At 52.9% G+C, this 17,292-nt stretch overlaps 2 protein-coding genes across 11 annotated transcripts in view, besides 3 other annotated features; both read right to left on the reverse strand.

Moving 5' to 3' along the window:
* TRAP1 (TNF receptor associated protein 1) overlaps window positions 1–3,899 on the reverse strand; it is a 59,488-nt gene extending 55,589 nt beyond the window's left edge. For both annotated transcript variants that reach the window (NM_001272049.2, NM_016292.3), the window contains exon 1: window positions 3,796–3,899. In NM_001272049.2, the coding sequence (NP_001258978.1) occupies window positions 3,796–3,883 (88 nt within the window). In that variant the 5' untranslated portion in view covers window positions 3,884–3,899. The remainder of the gene's footprint in view (window positions 1–3,795) is intronic.
* Window positions 137–645: an enhancer, noted in NCBI's record as "H3K4me1 hESC enhancer chr16:3763763-3764271 (GRCh37/hg19 assembly coordinates)". NCBI's record gives its function as "activates a minimal SCP1, AML or CMV promoter by ChIP-STARR-seq in naive H9 embryonic stem cells {active_cell/tissue: H9 hESC(naive)}" and the evidence as "EXISTENCE:reporter gene assay evidence [ECO:0000049][PMID:30033119]".
* Window positions 3,500–3,619: a silencer, noted in NCBI's record as "silent region_7138". NCBI's record gives its function as "represses an Ori minimal core promoter by ATAC-STARR-seq in GM12878 lymphoblastoid cells {active_cell/tissue: GM12878}" and the evidence as "EXISTENCE:reporter gene assay evidence [ECO:0000049][PMID:35858748]".
* Window positions 3,640–4,249: a silencer, noted in NCBI's record as "silent region_7139". NCBI's record gives its function as "represses an Ori minimal core promoter by ATAC-STARR-seq in GM12878 lymphoblastoid cells {active_cell/tissue: GM12878}" and the evidence as "EXISTENCE:reporter gene assay evidence [ECO:0000049][PMID:35858748]".
* The window catches only part of CREBBP (CREB binding lysine acetyltransferase), a 155,660-nt gene continuing 149,796 nt past the window's right edge, over window positions 11,429–17,292 (reverse strand). For all 9 annotated transcript variants that reach the window (XM_047433625.1, XM_047433624.1, XM_005255124.5 and 6 more), the window contains one exon: window positions 11,429–16,249. In XM_047433625.1, coding sequence (XP_047289581.1) covers window positions 14,093–16,249 — 2,157 coding nt within the window. In that variant the 3' untranslated portion in view covers window positions 11,429–14,092. The remainder of the gene's footprint in view (window positions 16,250–17,292) is intronic.

A 17,292-nucleotide genomic window follows, 5' to 3' on the forward strand; every position in this document is an offset into this window, starting at 1 on the left:
GACTGGACTCGGCACCCTTGGTGATTGTGGCAGTCACCTCGTCATGCAAAATGACCAACCCGTCACCGTACCTGCCTGACCACAGAATCACGTTTGCTTTGGGAGACTGCGTCTGCTGTTGATCTTTCCAGGTCTTCCCTCTCCTTTAGGAGGCGGCCTCATCCTTCTACTGGCACATCTGACACTTCTGACAGTTGGAGCTCTGACGAAAAGCTCTCATGGTGGGCCACGTGGCTGGGCTCCCCACACACCAGGCCCAGGGCTGGCTCTGTGACTGTCCTGAGGAATGCAGGATGAGGCTCCTACGCACAAGCTTATATCTGACAGAAAAGACACAACTGCTAGCCTCATTCACCATCACTCCTGCACACTCCCGCAAGTCTTTCATCAAACCAATTATTCAGAGCTATCTCCTTACCCTTGCACCTGCAGCTTTCCAGACATGGAACGTTCCTCCCTCCCCTCCAGTGAAAACAGCCTTGGACACTCGGCCCAAATCGCTCCTCATCTGTGAAACTTACCCTGGGGCAAGCAGCTCTTGTTTCTCTAATGTGCTGTCCAGGCCACCAAGATGGCCCTGGTACACTGCTCAGCAGCCACCTATGACTCCAGACAGCAGGGTCACATTTTCTTTGACGACTCGGGGGCATTGGAAATGTATTTGCTGAATAAACTGTTATGGGCAAAAATGACAAATATAAAGTCCACAAGCGGATATCCTAGCCCACCCCTCACAGAAATATTCTGAGGGTAGGCCAGGCGCAGTGGCTCACGCCTGTAATCCCAGCATTTTGGGAGGCCAAGGCTAGTGGATCATGAGGTCAGGAGTTCGAGACCACCCTGGCCAGCATAGTGAAACCCCATCTCTATTAAAAATACAAAACCTAGCTGGGTGTGGTGGCATGCGCCTGTAGTCCCAGCTACGTGGGAGGCGAAGTCAGGAGAATCACTCGAACCCAGGAGGCGGAGGGTGTGGTGAGCTGAGGTTGCACCACTGCACTCCAGCCTGGGCAACAGAGCAAGACTCCGGCTCAAAAAAAATCAAATAAGATATTCTGAGGGCAAGTGACAGGGCTGGCAGTGTCAGGGGTCAGTGAGGTCTGAAAGGGTAAGAGGGCTGAGCTCATGGGTGACTGAGGCAGCGTAGCATGGGCGAGAGGATTCCACAGACATAAGACACGCACACCTGAAGCCAGGCACATGCTACAACCTGGAAATACTTTCCCAAGAAAAGAAAAAAATTTCAAGAGGTCTGGATTTTCTACATAGGTGGATCTGCCTAAACTATTCTTTCTCCCCTGTTGCACAAGACATGTATTTTCTTAGCTAAATTCTCTCATCGTTCAATCAATCCAAACAATTTACCTTCCCATTCATCCACACAGGTGACAATGACAAGGGCACCTGCCACGCAGAAGGCTGCCAAGAACATGTTCCATTTCTTAGACTCAGGCAGAGGAATGCTTGAACCACCGCACCAGAAGATGGAGGACGAGAGGAGAGAGACAATTTTTAAGAAAAAGAGATAAAGGGCTGGGCACAGCGGCTCACGCTTGTAATCCCAGCACTTTGGGAGGCCGAAGTGGGCGGATCACGAGGTCAGGAGATCGAGACCATCCTGGCTAACAGGGTGAAACCCCGTCTCTACTAAAAATACAAAAAATTAGCCAGGCATGGTGGTGGGCGCCTAAAGTCCCAGCTACTCGGGAGGCTGAGGCAGGAGAATGGCCTGAACCCGGGAGGCGGAGCTTGCAGTGAGCCAAGATCGCGCCACTGCACTCCAGCCTGGGTGACAGAGCAAGACTCCATCTCAAAAAAAAAGAAAAAGAAAAAGAGATAAAGAAACAGAATTAAAATGTCCCTGGGCTGAAAACTGACATATTTTCCAAATGGAAGGGACAGTGCATGATACAAAGCATGAATCACAAACACCTGTGGACGCGAGACCACAAACGACAAAGAGAAAAAATCTTAACCTCCAAGGGGGAAAAAACCCGAGTCAGCTACAAAAGAAACGAGAACCAAATTAACAGAACAGTTGGCCAGGCACGGTGACACACGCCTGCAATCCCAGCATTTTGGAGGGCAAGGCAGGCAGATCACTTGAGGTCAGGCACTGGAGACCAGCCTGGCCAACATAGTGAAACCCCACCTCATAAAGACAAAAAAATAAATAAATAATTGATCAGACACTGGTGCTAGAAGAGAGCAACAGCATCACTTTCTGAGGGAAAATTATTATTATTTTTGTTGTTGAGATGAAGTCTCACTCTGTCGCCCAGGCTGGAGTGCAGTGGTGCAATCTCAGCTCACTGCAATCTCTGCCTCCTGGGTTCAAGCGATTCTCCTGCCTCAGCCTCCCAAGAAGCTGGGATTACAGGCGCGCGCCACCACACCCAGCTAATTTTTGTATTTTTAGTAGAGACAGGGTTTCACCATGTTGGCCAGGCTGGTCTTGAACTCCTGATCTGCCCACCTCAGGCTCCCAAAGTGCTAGGATTACAGGCGTGAGCCACCGCGCCCGGCCACAAGGTATCTTTTATAGACCACTGGTTTTGAAAAGACATAAGATTCAGCGTTGAAGAAAATACCTTTGGAATAGGCAGTCTTGATGCCTGCTAAAGGGGATATAAATTGATAAGGCCTTTTTGGACAATTTGGCAGTATCTGCTAACATTTCAAAAATGCATAGGCTCTGAAATATCAATTCTAAAATTCTAATTATGTAAGGCTAAAGAAATACCGCACGTGAACAAATATTTAAGTACTCACCCATTCTATGCAGCATTGTAATAAAAAGTAAAACCTGAAATAACCTTTATTGCGTCCACTAATAGGACAATGTTTAAACAAATGACACGTCCATCATACAGAATACTGTGTGGTCACTGGAAGGCACATGGACCTGTATACACTGACATGAAAAGATGTGGAAAGAATGCTGGGAGCGTTAAAATTTTCTGAAGTACAACGTAGCACAATGCATACATGGTTTAGGCTTTTTAGAATAAAAAATACTTATACGCAGACATTTATATTTACACGTATAACACTGTGTACAGCCCCGAAGCAATGCCGAAACTTTCACTGTTGTTACCTCCGAGTGGGGACTGGGAAAGCAGAGGTTAGGGTCGTTCTCTCTGTTTTACAAACATTTATTGGCGCATCCATCAATTCCAGGCCCCGAGGACACAGCTGCGTCAACGACATCGAGTCCACCTGCTCTGGGGACCCGGATGACTGCTATAGGTTTTGTTCACTGTGGCGTCCCCAGAACCTGCACGGCGCCGGGCACTGAGCGGGCGCTCACATGTGCGTCCAATGAACGAATTAACAAATGAACCCTCAGTGCGCTACTGGGAGGCGGGGAGGGGTAAAGCACGATCCATGGAACTAGCACGATCACCCCGAGTGAGTCCATTCCCCGCAACATGCACCCGCAAAGACTCCGCGCTCCGCAGCGGCTCCACCTGCACGTGCGCTACCTGACTGGACCGAAGCTCCAGGAGGGACGACCCCGCAGCCGCTCCGCCCGACCCCGCGACCCCCCAAGACCCAGCCTCCTTCAGGGCTCCCATGGGCGGGTGGCGAGGGGAGTCCAGCCGAGGAAAAGGCAGCCAAGCTGGAGCTGGCGAGGAGCGGAGCGAAAGTAAACGCGTCTGCCGCGCTTGGCCTCGCCGGACCTCCCACGCCTGTGAAGCAGGTGCCGGCGCCTCGCTCCCCGGAGCACAGGGACGTCCCTGCCGTCTCCGTGGCCCGGCCCGCCCGCTGCCCGTCCAGCCAGGACGCCCTCACCTCCCGGCACGGCCGCCAGCGCCGGCGCCCGCAGCAAAGGCCGCAGGCGGCGGCCCCACAGCAGCAGCGCCCGCAGCTCGCGCGCCATGTCGTACTCCCAGAGCGCCGCGCGCAGCCACGCGGGACCGTACACGATGGGAAGGGGCGGGACGGGGCTGCGCGGGGCGGGGCTTCCTCGGGCGCGGGGCGGTGACGTCACGGCGGGCGCCGGGCTGTCCGGGCAGCTGCCTGCTCGGGCGCGTGGCGGGGTACTACCCGTCTCGTGGACGGTCGGGCCTGGGGGTGGGACCTCCGTGACCTTGGATCGCGTTGTCAAGGGCGACGGGCCTTGCGCGCGGAGGTGGGGGAGGTGGCCCCGCCGCCCCCGGCCCACGCTGGCCGGCTGCGCCTAGCTGTGCGCATTCCTGGAATGGGGCGGATGTCAGTATCCACGCGAGGGTGTGGAGGCGACGCTGGGGAAGAAGCAGTTCCCGTGTCTGCGACCTTTGTGAATCCCGGCCATCCGTCTAGGCCGCTGCAAGTCTCTTGCAAACCAAGACTGGACAAAAAGCTAAAGCGAATGAGGAAGGGGATTCCAGGCTTGACTGGCTACTACTCCAAAACCTGAACCCAGTGACCAATACCACCAGGAAAACTGCGGTTATTCGTTTATTCCACTTCTCTTGTCCTTGTCGAGAAGAGTCAAACTCTAAAGTATTTAGAAGGTTATTCTGAGCCAAATATGAGTGTGCATGGAGGGAGGCACAGTCTCAAAAGGTCCTGAGAACTTGGCCCAAGGTGCTTGGGTTACAGCTTGCTTGGTTTTATACATTTTAGAGAGACATAAGACATCAGTCAATGCATGTAAGACATAGGTTGGTTCCGTGTGGAAAGGCAGGACAACTCAAAGGGTGAAATACTTAGAGGTCATAGGTGGATTCAGATACTTTCTGATTGGCAATTGGTTAAAAGAGTTGAGTTCTGGTTGGGCGCGGTGGCTCACGCCTGTAATCCTAGCACTTTGGGAGGCTGAGGTGGGCGGACTGCCTGCGGTCAGGAGTCCGAGACCAGCCTGGCCAACATGGTGAAAACCCATCATCTCTACTAAGATACAAAAAATTAGCTGGGCAAGGTGGCACGTGCCTGTAGTCCCAGCTCCTGGGGAGGCTGAGGCGGAAGAATAGCGTGAACCCGGGAGGCTGCGGTTGCAGTGAGCCGAGATCGTGCCACTTGCACTGCAGCCTGGGCGACAGAGCTGTGACTCCGTCTCAAAAAAAAAAAAAAAAGAAAACAAAAAAAAGAAAAAAAAGAGTTGAGTTATACAGACCTGGAATCAATAAAAAGAGTGTCTGGGTGAAGATAAGGGGTTGTGGGCACGAGCACGGTGACTCACACCTGTAATCCCAACACTTTGGGATGCCGAGGTGGGCGAATTGCTTGAGGTCAGGAGTTGGAGAGCAGCGTGGGCAACATGGTGAGACCCTGTCTGTACCAAACATACCTGTACCGGATGTGGTGGCGGAGGCCTGTAATCCCAGCTACAAGGGAGGCTGAGGTGGGTGGATTGCTTAAGCCCAGGAGGGAGAGGTTGCAGTGAGCCAAGTTCGTGCCATTGAACTCCAGCTTGGGCAAGAGAGCCACACCCTGTCTCAAAACAAACAAACAAACAAACAAACAAAAAACAGGTTGTGAAGACCAAGGTTCTTATTATGTAGAGGAAGTCTCATAGATGACCACCCTTACAGGTAATAGATGGCAAATGTTTTCGCAAATATTGTTTATTCAGACCGTTAAAAATTCCTAGACCCTCAGGATCAGGAAAAGACCTGCAAAGGTGGCCTGGCATGGTGGCTTACGCATGTAATTCCAGCACTTTAGGAGGCCAAGGTGGTCTTATCACTTGAGGTCAGGAGGTTGAGACCAGCCTGGTCGGCATGGCAAAACCCCATCTCTACTAAAAATACAAAAATTAGGCCAAGAGCAGTGGCTCACGCCTGTAATCCTAGCACTTTGGGAGGCTGAGGCGGGCAGATCACCTGAGGTCGGGAGTTCGAGACCAGCGTGACTGACAGGGAGAAACTCCGTCTCTACTAAAAATACAAAAAATCAGTCAGGCGTGGTGGCGCATGCCTGTAATCCCAGCTACGCAGGAGGTTAAGGCAGGAGAATCGCTGGAACCCAGGAGGTGAAGGTTGCAGTGAGCTGATACCGCACCATTGCACTCCAGCCTGGGCAACAAGAGTGAAAGTCTGTCTCAAAAACAAAAAAAATTACCTGGGTGTGGTGGTGTGCACCTGTGTACAGCTGAGGCTACTCGGGAGGCTGAAGCAGGGGAATCGCTTGAACCCAGGAGGCAGAGATTGCAGTGAGCCAAGATCGCACCACTGCACTCCCACTCCAGCCTGGGCAACAGAACAAGATTCCGTCTCAAAAAAAAAAAAAAGTCCTTTGTAATGTTAACGCTGGTCAGTTGTGCCTCATTTCCAAGGGGTGGAGGGTGTAATGAGGCAGGACCCACCCCATCCTTCCAATTATGGCCTGAACTAGTTTTTTAGGTTTCTTTGAAATCCCCTTGGTGGAGAGGAATGATCCATTCCATGGGTTGGGGGACTTATAATGTGTTTTTGCCGGCTGGGCACGGTGGCTCACGCCTGTAATCCCAGTACTTTGGGAGGCCGAGGCAGGCGGATCACCTGATGTTGGGAGTTCAAGACCAGCCTGACCAACATGGAGAAACCCTGTCTCCACTAAAAATACAAAATTAGCCGGGCATGGCGGCACATGCCTATAATCCCAGCTACTCGGGAGGCTGAGGCAGGAGAATCGCTTGAACCCGGGAGGCAGAGGTTGCAGTGAGCTGAGATCGTGCCACTGCACTCCAGCCTGGGCAACAGAGTGAGACTCTATCTCAAAAAACAACAGCAAAAAAAGAATTTGTTTTTGCTTTACACCTTGCTGGAGGTTAGAGACTAGTTGGAGATTCAGACCATACACCCTGGTCTAACATTTGGTCCAGACCCAGCTGCAGCCTCATAATGCCGATTTCCCGGCACCTCCTCAGTCCCGGAGTGGGGCCCAGGCGGCTCCACTGAGGTTCCCAGGTAATTCGGAGGCACACTGAAGATTCACTGCCACACTCTAATAACTGTACAAAAATAGCGACTCCAGCTCGTGGCACGTGCTGCAGAGAAGCACAGGAGCCAGGAGAGTGACCTTCAGTGGGGCCGGGACAGAGCTGGGTGGAAGAGGATGTGTCAGGAAACGCTTCCAGGTGGAAAGTGGCAAGTTCCCAGCTTAAGCAATTGAGAAGGGAATGGAAAGAGGGTGGGCAGATTTGGGTGGAAGAGCAGGGTCCTGTCACCCAGACCACTCCAGCAGCCCTGACAGGCCCCCTGCTTCCGCTCTTGCCAGCCTCCCATCCTCCACAGCAGCCGGATCATACTCCGTCTCTCAGATCCTCCAGTGGTCCCCCTACCAACACACATGCACATATTTACAATCCTTTCCAAACTCCTTCTGCCTCCTCCTATAGGCCTGCATGGGCCTGCCTGTGTTCCCTATCACCACACTCCAGGCAGAGCCCTTTCCAGCATGTCCTCAGGGAATGGGGGTGGGTGGGGGGTGTCTCGGCTTCACATTTCATCCCTTTTTCGCTCCATTCAGGAAATCATCTCTCTCTTTTTTTTTTTTTTTTTTTTTTTGAGACAGAGTCTTGCTCTGTTGCCCAGGCTGGAGTGCAGTGGTGTGATCTCGGCTCACTGCAAGCTCTGCCTCCCGGGTTCACTCCATTCTCCTGCCTTAGCCTCCCGAGTAGCTGGGACTACAGGCGCCCACCACCACACCCGGCTAATTTCTTTTTGAATTTTTAGTAGAGACGGGGTTTCACCATGTTAGCCAGAATGGTCTCGATCTCCTGACCTCGTGATCCGCCCATCTCTGCCTCCCAAAGTGCTGGGATTACAGGCGTGAGCCACCGCACCCGGCCAATCCTCTGTTTTGTAACAGCTGTCACATTGGTCCATGGGGCAATATATCTGGCTTAGGCCTTTTATTTCTTTTTTTGTTTTGTTTTGTTTTTTGTTGTTTGAGACAGAGTTTCGTGCTTGTTGCCCAGGCTTAAGTGCAGTGGTGTGATCTCGGCTCACTGCAACCTCTGCCTCCCATGTTCAAGTGATTCTCCTGCCTCAGCCTCCTGAGTAGCTGGGATTGTAGGCACCCGCCACCATGCCTGGCCGATTTTTGTATTTTTAGTAGAGACGGGGTTTCACCATGTTGGCCAGGCTGGTCTCGAACACCTGACCTCAAGTGATCCGCCTGCCTCGGCCTCCCAAAATGCTGGGATTACAGGCTTAAGCCACCACACCAGGCCAGTTTCAACAAGGGGAAGTGATATTTGGCAAAAGGAGGGAAACCTGGGCTTTAGTTAAGGGTGGGGGGCCTCTGCCAAGACTGGCAGGCCCCAAGTTCTGTGGAGGGCAAATCTACCAAGTTCCAGAAAAACCCCCAGAGCCTTCTGTCCTGTTGGCCTGTAGCCTTCAGAGACAAACCCTCAGCCTCAGAGCCTTGTGGTCCTGGGGCCTCTGCTAGCCCAGGGCCCTGTGACTTTTTTTTATTTTTTTATTTTTGAGACGGAGTCTCACTCTGTCACCCAGGCTGGAGTTCAGTGGCGCAGTCTTGGCTCACTGCAACCTCCGCCTCCCGGGTTCAAGTGATTCTCCTGCCTCAGCCTCCCAAGTAGCTGGGACTACAGGCACGTGCCACTATGCCCAGCTAATTTTTTTGTATTTTTGGTAGAGATAGTGTTTCACCCTGTTAGCCAGGATGGTCTCGATCTCCTGACCTCGTGATCCGCCTGCCTTGGCCTCCCAAAGTGCTGGGATTACAGGCGTGAGCCCCTGCGCCCGGCTGGACCTGTGGCTTTGTAAGGTACTGAGGGATCCAAGGCATGTCCTAAGGTGGCCACACATGGACTTCAGGCTCCGCGTAAACCAAGAATCTAGAAAGAGGAAAAAATGTTTACACGCAGACGTACTTGACTTGAATTAGTGGAGAATGACTGGGAGCTGCTTGGGGAGGGAAAGGGAAGAACCCCCAAGTCTCCTGCCCACCTCTATGGCCAATACGAGGCTGCCCATATGAAGCCACTGCCTTCCACTGGGGTCAGCTGAGGGCCGTGAAAAATGCCCGGTGCTTTATTCACAATAGCCAAAATGTGGAAGCAACTCAGGTAACCATGAACGATGAATGGGTCAGCAAAATGTGGTCTATTCATACAATGGAATATTACTCAGCCATAAAAAGGAAGGAAGTAGCCGGGCGTGGTGGCTCACACCTGTAATCCTGGCACTTTGAGAGGCCGAGGCAGGTGGATCACTTGAGGTCAGGAGTTCGAGGAGTCCTCTATAAAAAGATGTGAGCCCATCAAAAGCACCGTTTTATGCACAATTTAGATCAACGGCAAAGCACTGTCATCTACTCATCAAAGCTCCTCAGAATCTACTTTGCTAGTCTGGGCATTACACTCACTTAAATTTCTTCAGTATCTTATAAGGGACCTATGTTTTCCCACCTCTGCCTATTTATTATGAAGTGTATACAAGTAATTCATGTGGAATTAACACATAAAATCCATACGTCCATGAGGCTGCGATGTCTTCATGGTCTGAGATGAAGTTATTCTCCTGCCTACATGCCCCTGCCCGTCTGTTACGGCGCTGTGGGCGCAGCCTCTGCTTCCCGGCACACACTGTCCTGTGCTGAGAATGTCCTGGTAGCAAAATGGCCACTGATGTGCAATCCTCTCCTTCATAAAAGGTGTGTTTCTTTTTTAAAAACAGCTTATTTCACCATGCAATGCTCCAAGCATGTTTTGGCTCAAATAAAATCTTTGGTTCTATTTTATAGTAATCAAAAGGACCGGGCATGTTTGCTGACGCCTGTAATCCCAGCACTTTGGGAGGCCAAGGCGGGTGGATCACTTGAGGTCGGGAGTTCAAGACCAGCCTGGCCAACATGGCGAAATCCTGCCTCTACTAAAAATACAAAAATTAGCTGGGCATGGTGGCACATGCCTCTAGTCCCAGCTACTCGGGAGGCTGAGATAGGAGAATCGCCTGAACCCGGAAGGCAGAGGTTGCAGTGAGCCGAGATCACGTCACTGCACTCCAGCCAGGGTGACAGAGGGAGACTCTGTCTCAAAAAGAAAAAAGGAAGACAGTTACACGTCTTCAACCTGAGATTTTTTTTTTTTTTTTTTCAGTCAGAGTCTTGCTCTGTTCCCCAGGCTGGAGTGCAGTGGCGTGATCTCGGCTCACTGCAACCTCTGCCTCCTGGGTTCAAGCAATTCTCCCGCTTCATCCTCCCGAGTAGCTGGGACTATAGGCGCATGCTGCCACGCCTGGCTAATTTTTTGTATTTTAGTAGACGGGGTTTCACCACGTTGCCCAGGCTGGTTGTCAACTCCTGAGCTCAGGCAATCTGCCCACCTCAGCCTCCCAAAGTGCTGGGATTACAGGCGTGAGCCACCATGCCCAGCCCAACCTGAGATCTTAGAAGCAGAAGCCTCTCCATGCCACATTATCCAGGGACAGCTCATTCTATGTTTCTAACATGCTAGAATTTCAAAGATAGCATCAAACACATGCTCTGTAGAGAAAAACTCCACTGAACATCTGCAATTTTTTTTTTCTTTCTGAGATGAAGTCTCACTCTGTTGCCCAGGCTGGAGTGCAGTGGCGCGCTCTTGGCTCACTGTAACCTCCGCCTCCTGGGTTTAACCGATTTTCCTGCCTCAGCCTCCTTAGTAGCTAGGACTACAGGTGCACACCACCATGCCCGGCTGAATATTTTTTTTTTTTTTTTTTTTTTGAGACAGAGTCTTGCTCTGTCGCCCAGGCCAGAGTGCAGTGGTGCAATCTTGGCTCACTGCAACCTCCACCTCCCGGGTTTAAGTGATTCTCCTGCCTCAGTCTCCTGAGTAGCTGGGATTACAGGCGTGCGCCACCATGCCCAGCTAATTTTTGTATGTTTAGTAGAGACGGGGTTTCACCACGCTGGTCAGACTGGTCTCGAACTGCTGACGTCGTGATCTGCCTGCCTTGGCCTCCCAAAGTGTTGGGATTACAGGCGTGAGCCACTACACCTCGGCCAATTTTTTGTATTTTTTGTAGTAGAGATGGGGTTTCACCATATTGGCCAGGCTCGTCTCAAACTCCTGACCATGTGATCTGCCCGCCTCAGACTCCCAAAGTGCTGGGATTACAGGCATGAGCCACCAAGCCCGGCCAGCACCACCTACAATCGTTTTTTTGAGACAAAATCTCACTGTTGCCCAGGCTGTAGTGCAGTGGCACGATCCCGGCTCACTGCAACCTCCGCCTCCTGGGTTCAAGCGATTCTCTGCCTCAGCCTCCTGAGTAGCTGGGATTCTAGGCGCCTGCCACCACACCCGGCTAATTTTTTTGTATTTTAATAGAGATGGGGTTTCACCTTCTTGGCCAGGCTGGTCTCGAACTCCCGACTTCATGATCCACCCGCCTTGGCCTCCCAAAGTGCTGGGATTACAGGCGTGAGCCACCGCACCGGGCCCGCATCTGCAATCCTATAATGACGAGCCGTTGAGCTAACTGTAAGTCATTAGCCAATCTGAACCATCTTTGAATCCAAGTAGTTTTACCATCTTTTATTATAAACACCATCACATTTCAAGTTTCCTCTTTTTGATCACAAATATAGGACTTTTTCTTCTCCTCTTAAGTATACAGCATGAGACACAGCGTTGGGGCTTTCCAGGTTTCTTACAGAAATTTCCTTACGACAAACTTAGGGTTAGCATCCACAGACCATGCTCTCGGTCACATCCTTCGACATCTGGATTGCCCAAGACGGTTGCACAGGATGCAGACTCCAAAGAGGATGAGGTTGGTACATAACGTTTTGAATTCCAGGATAACCTGAAACAGAGGCCCCTCCACTGCCCACATTAAAAGGCTGCACAACCAGGAGGGCGCCACTTTCTGAGTGTGGGCTTAGAGCTGCTGCTCTCGGGCTCTAGCCCCACTTCTTGTTTGAACACATGGCTCAAGGTTTCCCTACGGGTGGAAAAGATGAAGAGGACACTGGAGGTTAAGAACCCAGCAGGCCGAGCAGTGGCAGCAATCTCCACCGGAGGCCCGGCCTGTGCTTCCCCTCCTGGGATGGGGTGAATGGGGGCTGGTCAGGGGTGCCAGATGGTGGTCTTATTTTTACTTGAATTATTCTGCATTTTATAACTCAAGGTTCAAAGCTCTGTGCTAAAACTAGATCGGACCTTTCCAACTTCTTAGAAAGGTTCCTCGAATTCAGATTCCCAAACCAAGTATTCAGCTATTTAAAACCTATCTGTGAATGTAAGGGCCCAAACGGAAGCTATTTGGGGCGTGATTTCTAAAATTACCATCACCCCCACCTAGACCAGCCTTTGTTGGGGGACTAGGGATAAAGTGGGTTCTCTGGGTGCTGGGGGTGGTAGACTTAGGGGATGAACTTCAGCTCCCCTGCCCATGGTCCTCCTCTCAGTTTTACGGTTTTTGTGAACTTGTCTCACCCACTCAGTAAGGGAGCCTGGAACTGGACTCCAAGGGAGGCAGGACCATGTGGCTAAGTGCAAGTATCCCCCGAAGTGGGGGACCTTTCTCACTGTAACAGGGACCGGAGCTGGTGCTCCAAGGTGTCTGTCCCTCAGCATTTCCTCAAACGCCACACGGGACATGCTGCGCGGCAGCGGCAGGATTTGGGGGGAAGTCAGAAAGCACCTCGCGAGCCTGGAGCACTCTCTGCCTCAGATTCTGGGAGTCGTGTACGGGGGGGGGGAGCCGCCTGAACACGGGAAGAAGCGCCGCCTCTGGGGGTGGCAGCTACGACGGACAGGGAGGATGGAGGAGTGGGCCAAATGCAGTTTCAGACCAACTGACGACCCTAACTGTGTGAGCGACAATCACCTGTGAGCCTCGAATGTGTGGGGCCAACGCTGAGCCGCCCACCTCAGTCGCCCACCTCAGTCTCCGGGAAGAAAAGCCTCCGGGCGGCCGCTAAGCCTGGGCCACAGTTCCCAGCCACCACCCACGCCGCCACAACCACAACCGCAGCCCCAGCCTCTCCGCTATGAGCGAACAACCAGAACCATGTCTTACAAAGAACAGACTCAAAAAATATATATAAATAAATAAAAACCTTAAACATTCTTACAGGGATCTTAAAGAACAGAATACATGTTAAAAACCTCAGTAATTTATATCAATTTTAAGCGGTACTTTATATACAATGGGGAAAAAACACATGCATAGTCCAAATACAATGTTGAAAACAGCATTTTCATAACAAAAAACCCCGAACACTAAGTGTTAATACCATGTACATGAATTCAAGAAGGACCACCCTTTTTGTCTGTTGCACACAGTTTATTTAACAATATGATATAAGAAATGAGTTGGTATTTTACCATTCTATACAGTGATTGAATCTTCTCGAGTTTCGTATTTATAGGAATTAGAGCGCTTGCATGATTTACACTAGAATTGCTTTTCCTCATTTCAAGTTTCACATAGAAGAAAGAAAAGAAGGCTTCTTCTCTAGTAACATTAGCATGGTCTAAGAGTGATCATCCCTATTTTTTGTCTAAAACCAGTTTTATCAGAGAAACAAAGCAACAATTTCTACATCTGCAAGACAAGTTTGGCTTCAGCCATTATGTATAGATAGATGTGTGTGGGTGTGTACGTGTGTGCACGCCGGAGTCAATTCCTATCATCCAGGGTAATACTGGGAGACGCCCACAGAGTTCACTATAGAAAAAAATCTTCCCGAAACATCACAAAGTTATCGGGATACATTATAAGCTTGCATTATTTCAGGAATCAGTTCTGAATATTATTTTTCTTCTTACTTTTAAACATAAATGTTTAAAGTCTTGAAAATACAAATAAAAAATATGAATATAATGAACTTGTTTTTCCCGTTAAAAAAAGGCATGAGTCACCAGCAATGACGACAAAAAGAATCCAAACAAAACCCCCCTCCCCCCAAACAAAAACAAAACGGAAAAAAAAGAACCCCCCCCACCCCCCCGCCAAAAAAAAACCAAAGAGAGAGACCAGATATTTAAATCAACTGGTTTTTAACAAAAAAATATATTCTTTGTATTGTTTCTTTAAACATCAATCCACCCTTCCATGGCTCGGAAGTCGCAGTTCCATCTAGGAATAAAAAGAACCTAGATGCCTGGATTTTCAGTACAAAAGGTCCAAGAACATGAAAGGGAAAAGGTGATGCTCTCACAATGCTACAAGCCCTCCACAAACTTCTCTAGCGTGTCCCCCGTGGTGTCCCCGACCAGGGACAGTTCGCTGGACAGCGCACTCCTGCTGGGGGTGTTCAGCTGGGGGAGCATTGCACTCTGTTCGGGGTTCCCCAAGTGTCCCTGATCTATGGAGCTGGCCATGGTGACTGCGAGTCCGGGGTGGGGGGAACCAGTCTGGGGTGAGACGTGGTGTGGCGAAGGCTGGGGCTGTATCCGTGGTGACGGGCTGGAATGTGGAGGCTGGGACTGGGGCCGTGGAGACTGGACAGGGGCTGGAGACCGCACCTGGTTACTAAGGGACGTGGCGATCTGCTGGCCAGGGAGATGCGAGGCCTGTGGCTGTCCTGAGAGCATGTGTTGCTGGGGGCTCATGGGGTTCGGCTGGCCTGGGGACCCAATCTGCTGCTTCATCTGCTGTTGCTGCAGAATCCGCTGCTGCAGGGCTTGCTGGATGTTGGGGGTGCTGTCTGCCCCCAGCCCCGGCTGCCCCATCTGGCCAAGCTGTCCCATCTGAGCCGCCATCTGGCCCATGGAGCTGCCCTGGAGGGGGAGATGCTGCTGCATGCGCTGCTGCTGCTGCATGGCCGGTGGGTAGCCTCCGGGTCCTTGAGGCTGCTGGAACTGGCCGTGCCCCGCCATGCCCCCAGCCATGCCGGCACTCCCTTGCTGCTGCTGCTGTTGCTGCTGTTGTTGCTGCTGCTGTTGCTGCTGCTGCTGCAGCAGCTGCCTCCGTAACATTTCTCGGTACTGTGGATTCATACTCGCCATGTTGGGGTTGTGTCCTGGGTTCATGATGTTCAAGGCCTGGCCCTGGGGGTTCAGGCCTCCCATCGCCTGCTGCTGTGGAGGCACACCGGGCCGCGGCACGCCAGCCTGCATGGCATTCAGGTTCTGCAGGCTGGGCTGCTGGTGCATGCCAGGCTGGGGTTGCATGCCGGGCTGGGACTGGAGGCCAGGCTGGGGCTGCATGCCGGGCTGATTGGCCACGTACTTGGCTGTGCGCTGTTTGATGAAAGCTGCCATTAGCTGCGGGTTTGATTTGAGAATGTTCAGCACCTGCTGTTGCTGCTGAGGGGAGCTGGGCGACTTCAGGGTCCGCAGCAGGTCTTGCAGAGCGCTGGGTGAGATGCTCCTGGGTGGCTGCACGCTGGGCATCCGGGGCCCAGCCACGGCCGCCTGGGCCTGCATGGATATCACAGGCCTGGGCAAGCCTGGCATGGGCTGCTGCTGGGGAAGGGGCGCCTGCTGCCACTGCCCGGGAGGCATGCTGGGCATGACGGGCCCGCTCACCTGGTTGGGTCGGGGCACATTCAGGCTCACGGGGGCCATCTGGCTCCCCGGGGTCCCCATGCCCGTGCGTCCTGGGGGCATGCTGTTGTTGATGTTCACCCGGTACAGGTGCTGCTGCTGCTGGGCCTCACGCTCGATCTGCCGAGCCGCTTCCACCGCTGCAGGAGGGGGCTGGGCCGGGGGTGGGGGGGCCGGCACCTGGCTGGTAGGCTTCCCTGTGGACACCGTGGTGGGGGGCTGAGTCCGGGCCACGCTGGGGAAGCCAGCTGGTGACATGCTCACGGGTGAGGGTTGGGGCTGGGCAGGGGGCTGCGGCGTCTGGGGTGTGCTGGGCTGCTGTGTGGGGGTCCCGGGCGGTGCTGAGGTAGGAGAAGGCAGACTCTGCTGAGGCACGTTGCGGGTGTTCATGGTGGCCATCCGCCGGCGCATGAGCTGGGCCTGCTGCAGGCGGTGCTGGATCTGCTGCTGGCGGAGCTTGTGTTTGATGTTGAGGCAGAAGGGCACGGGGCATTTGTTTTCTTGGCAGTGCTTGGCGTGGTAGCAGCAGAGGGCGATGAGCTGCTTGCACACCGGGCAGCCCCCGTTGGTCTTGCGTTTGCAGCCCTTGGTGTGCTGCACCACCCGCTTCATCTTCTGGCAGGATGGCAGCGAGCAGTTGGCGTTGCGGCACTGGCACGCGTGCACCAGCGACTGGATGCAGCGCTGGATGCTCAGCCGGCGTGACTCCTGGGGGCTCTTTGACTGTGGCTCGCCCTGGCTGCTGCCCTCGTCATCCAGGCCCAGCCCCCACTTCACCATCTTATGGGCATGGCTCTTCGTGTTATAGCAGTTGATGCAGAGGTCGTAGTCCTGCAAGCAAGGAAAGGGGACAGGCCGGTGTCAGCATGGGACCCAGTACCACCAGGCATCCTGGCTGCTTCCCTCCACCGCTAAGTCTGGGTCTGTGCCAGGAGACCCAGGCAGGATAGGAGACCCAGACAGGATGCGAGCACGGACAGGTGGGAGACCCGGACAGGGCGGGAGCACGGACAAGATGGGATCATGGACGGGATGGGATCATGGACAACATGGGATCATGGACAGGACGGGGGCATGGACTGCCTATGTGTTGCTCCCAAGGACCTTCACTCCTGGCAACAGCCCTGAAGGCTCAAAGATAACCTGACCCATGCCCCAAGAACCCCTGGCCTGTAAGCTCACGGACAGTAGACACCAGCCCCCTTCCTTCCGACTTCCTCTGACCTGGGAGTCACATCAGCCCTTGCCACAGCCTGTCCAACTCCTGTACTCAAACTATGAAGCCAGACAGTGAAAGGCTGAGGGAGGCCGGTCCCTCCCAAAGCGCCGACAGCTGCCGTGAAGTGCCTCTGGGAAGGCCTGAGCTATCCGCAGTGCACCAGTGGGACTTCCCCAACGCGCAAGCCCAAGTTACTGAAAACTGCTCGCACCTGGCAACCTGATGGAGCCCTAGGACCAGGTACCATGACTGTGTTCACAAAAAGATATGAAAACTGCCGCATTCAGAAACTAGAAAGAGGACAAAGGAGACTGGAGAAAGGTGGAAAGCGGAAGAAGTGTGTGAAGGTGGGGAGGGAAGAAAGGCCCTCGCTCTGCTGAGGACCCGCTCTGCCCCGCTACAGACACCACAGCAAGTGAGGAGGCTCCGGGTTGGCAGGTGATGGTGACTGTCCTGGGAGGGGGATGGTGGGATCTGTCACCTGCCTGCCCTGCACAGCCTGACTCGGCCCATGCAAGGGACACCCACGTCATTTCACAGGGGGGTCAAAATTCCTAGAGGGGAGTGAGGGAGCATGACCGGGGGGTCCTTCAGGAACAAGTGGCCAGAGGGGCCCAAGCTGCCAACAGGACAGCGGGTGTTTCCAGCCATTTAG

The sequence above is a fragment of the Homo sapiens genome, chromosome 16 (assembly GCF_000001405.40).
Source record: "Homo sapiens chromosome 16, GRCh38.p14 Primary Assembly".
Taxonomy (NCBI): domain Eukaryota; kingdom Metazoa; phylum Chordata; class Mammalia; order Primates; family Hominidae; genus Homo; species Homo sapiens.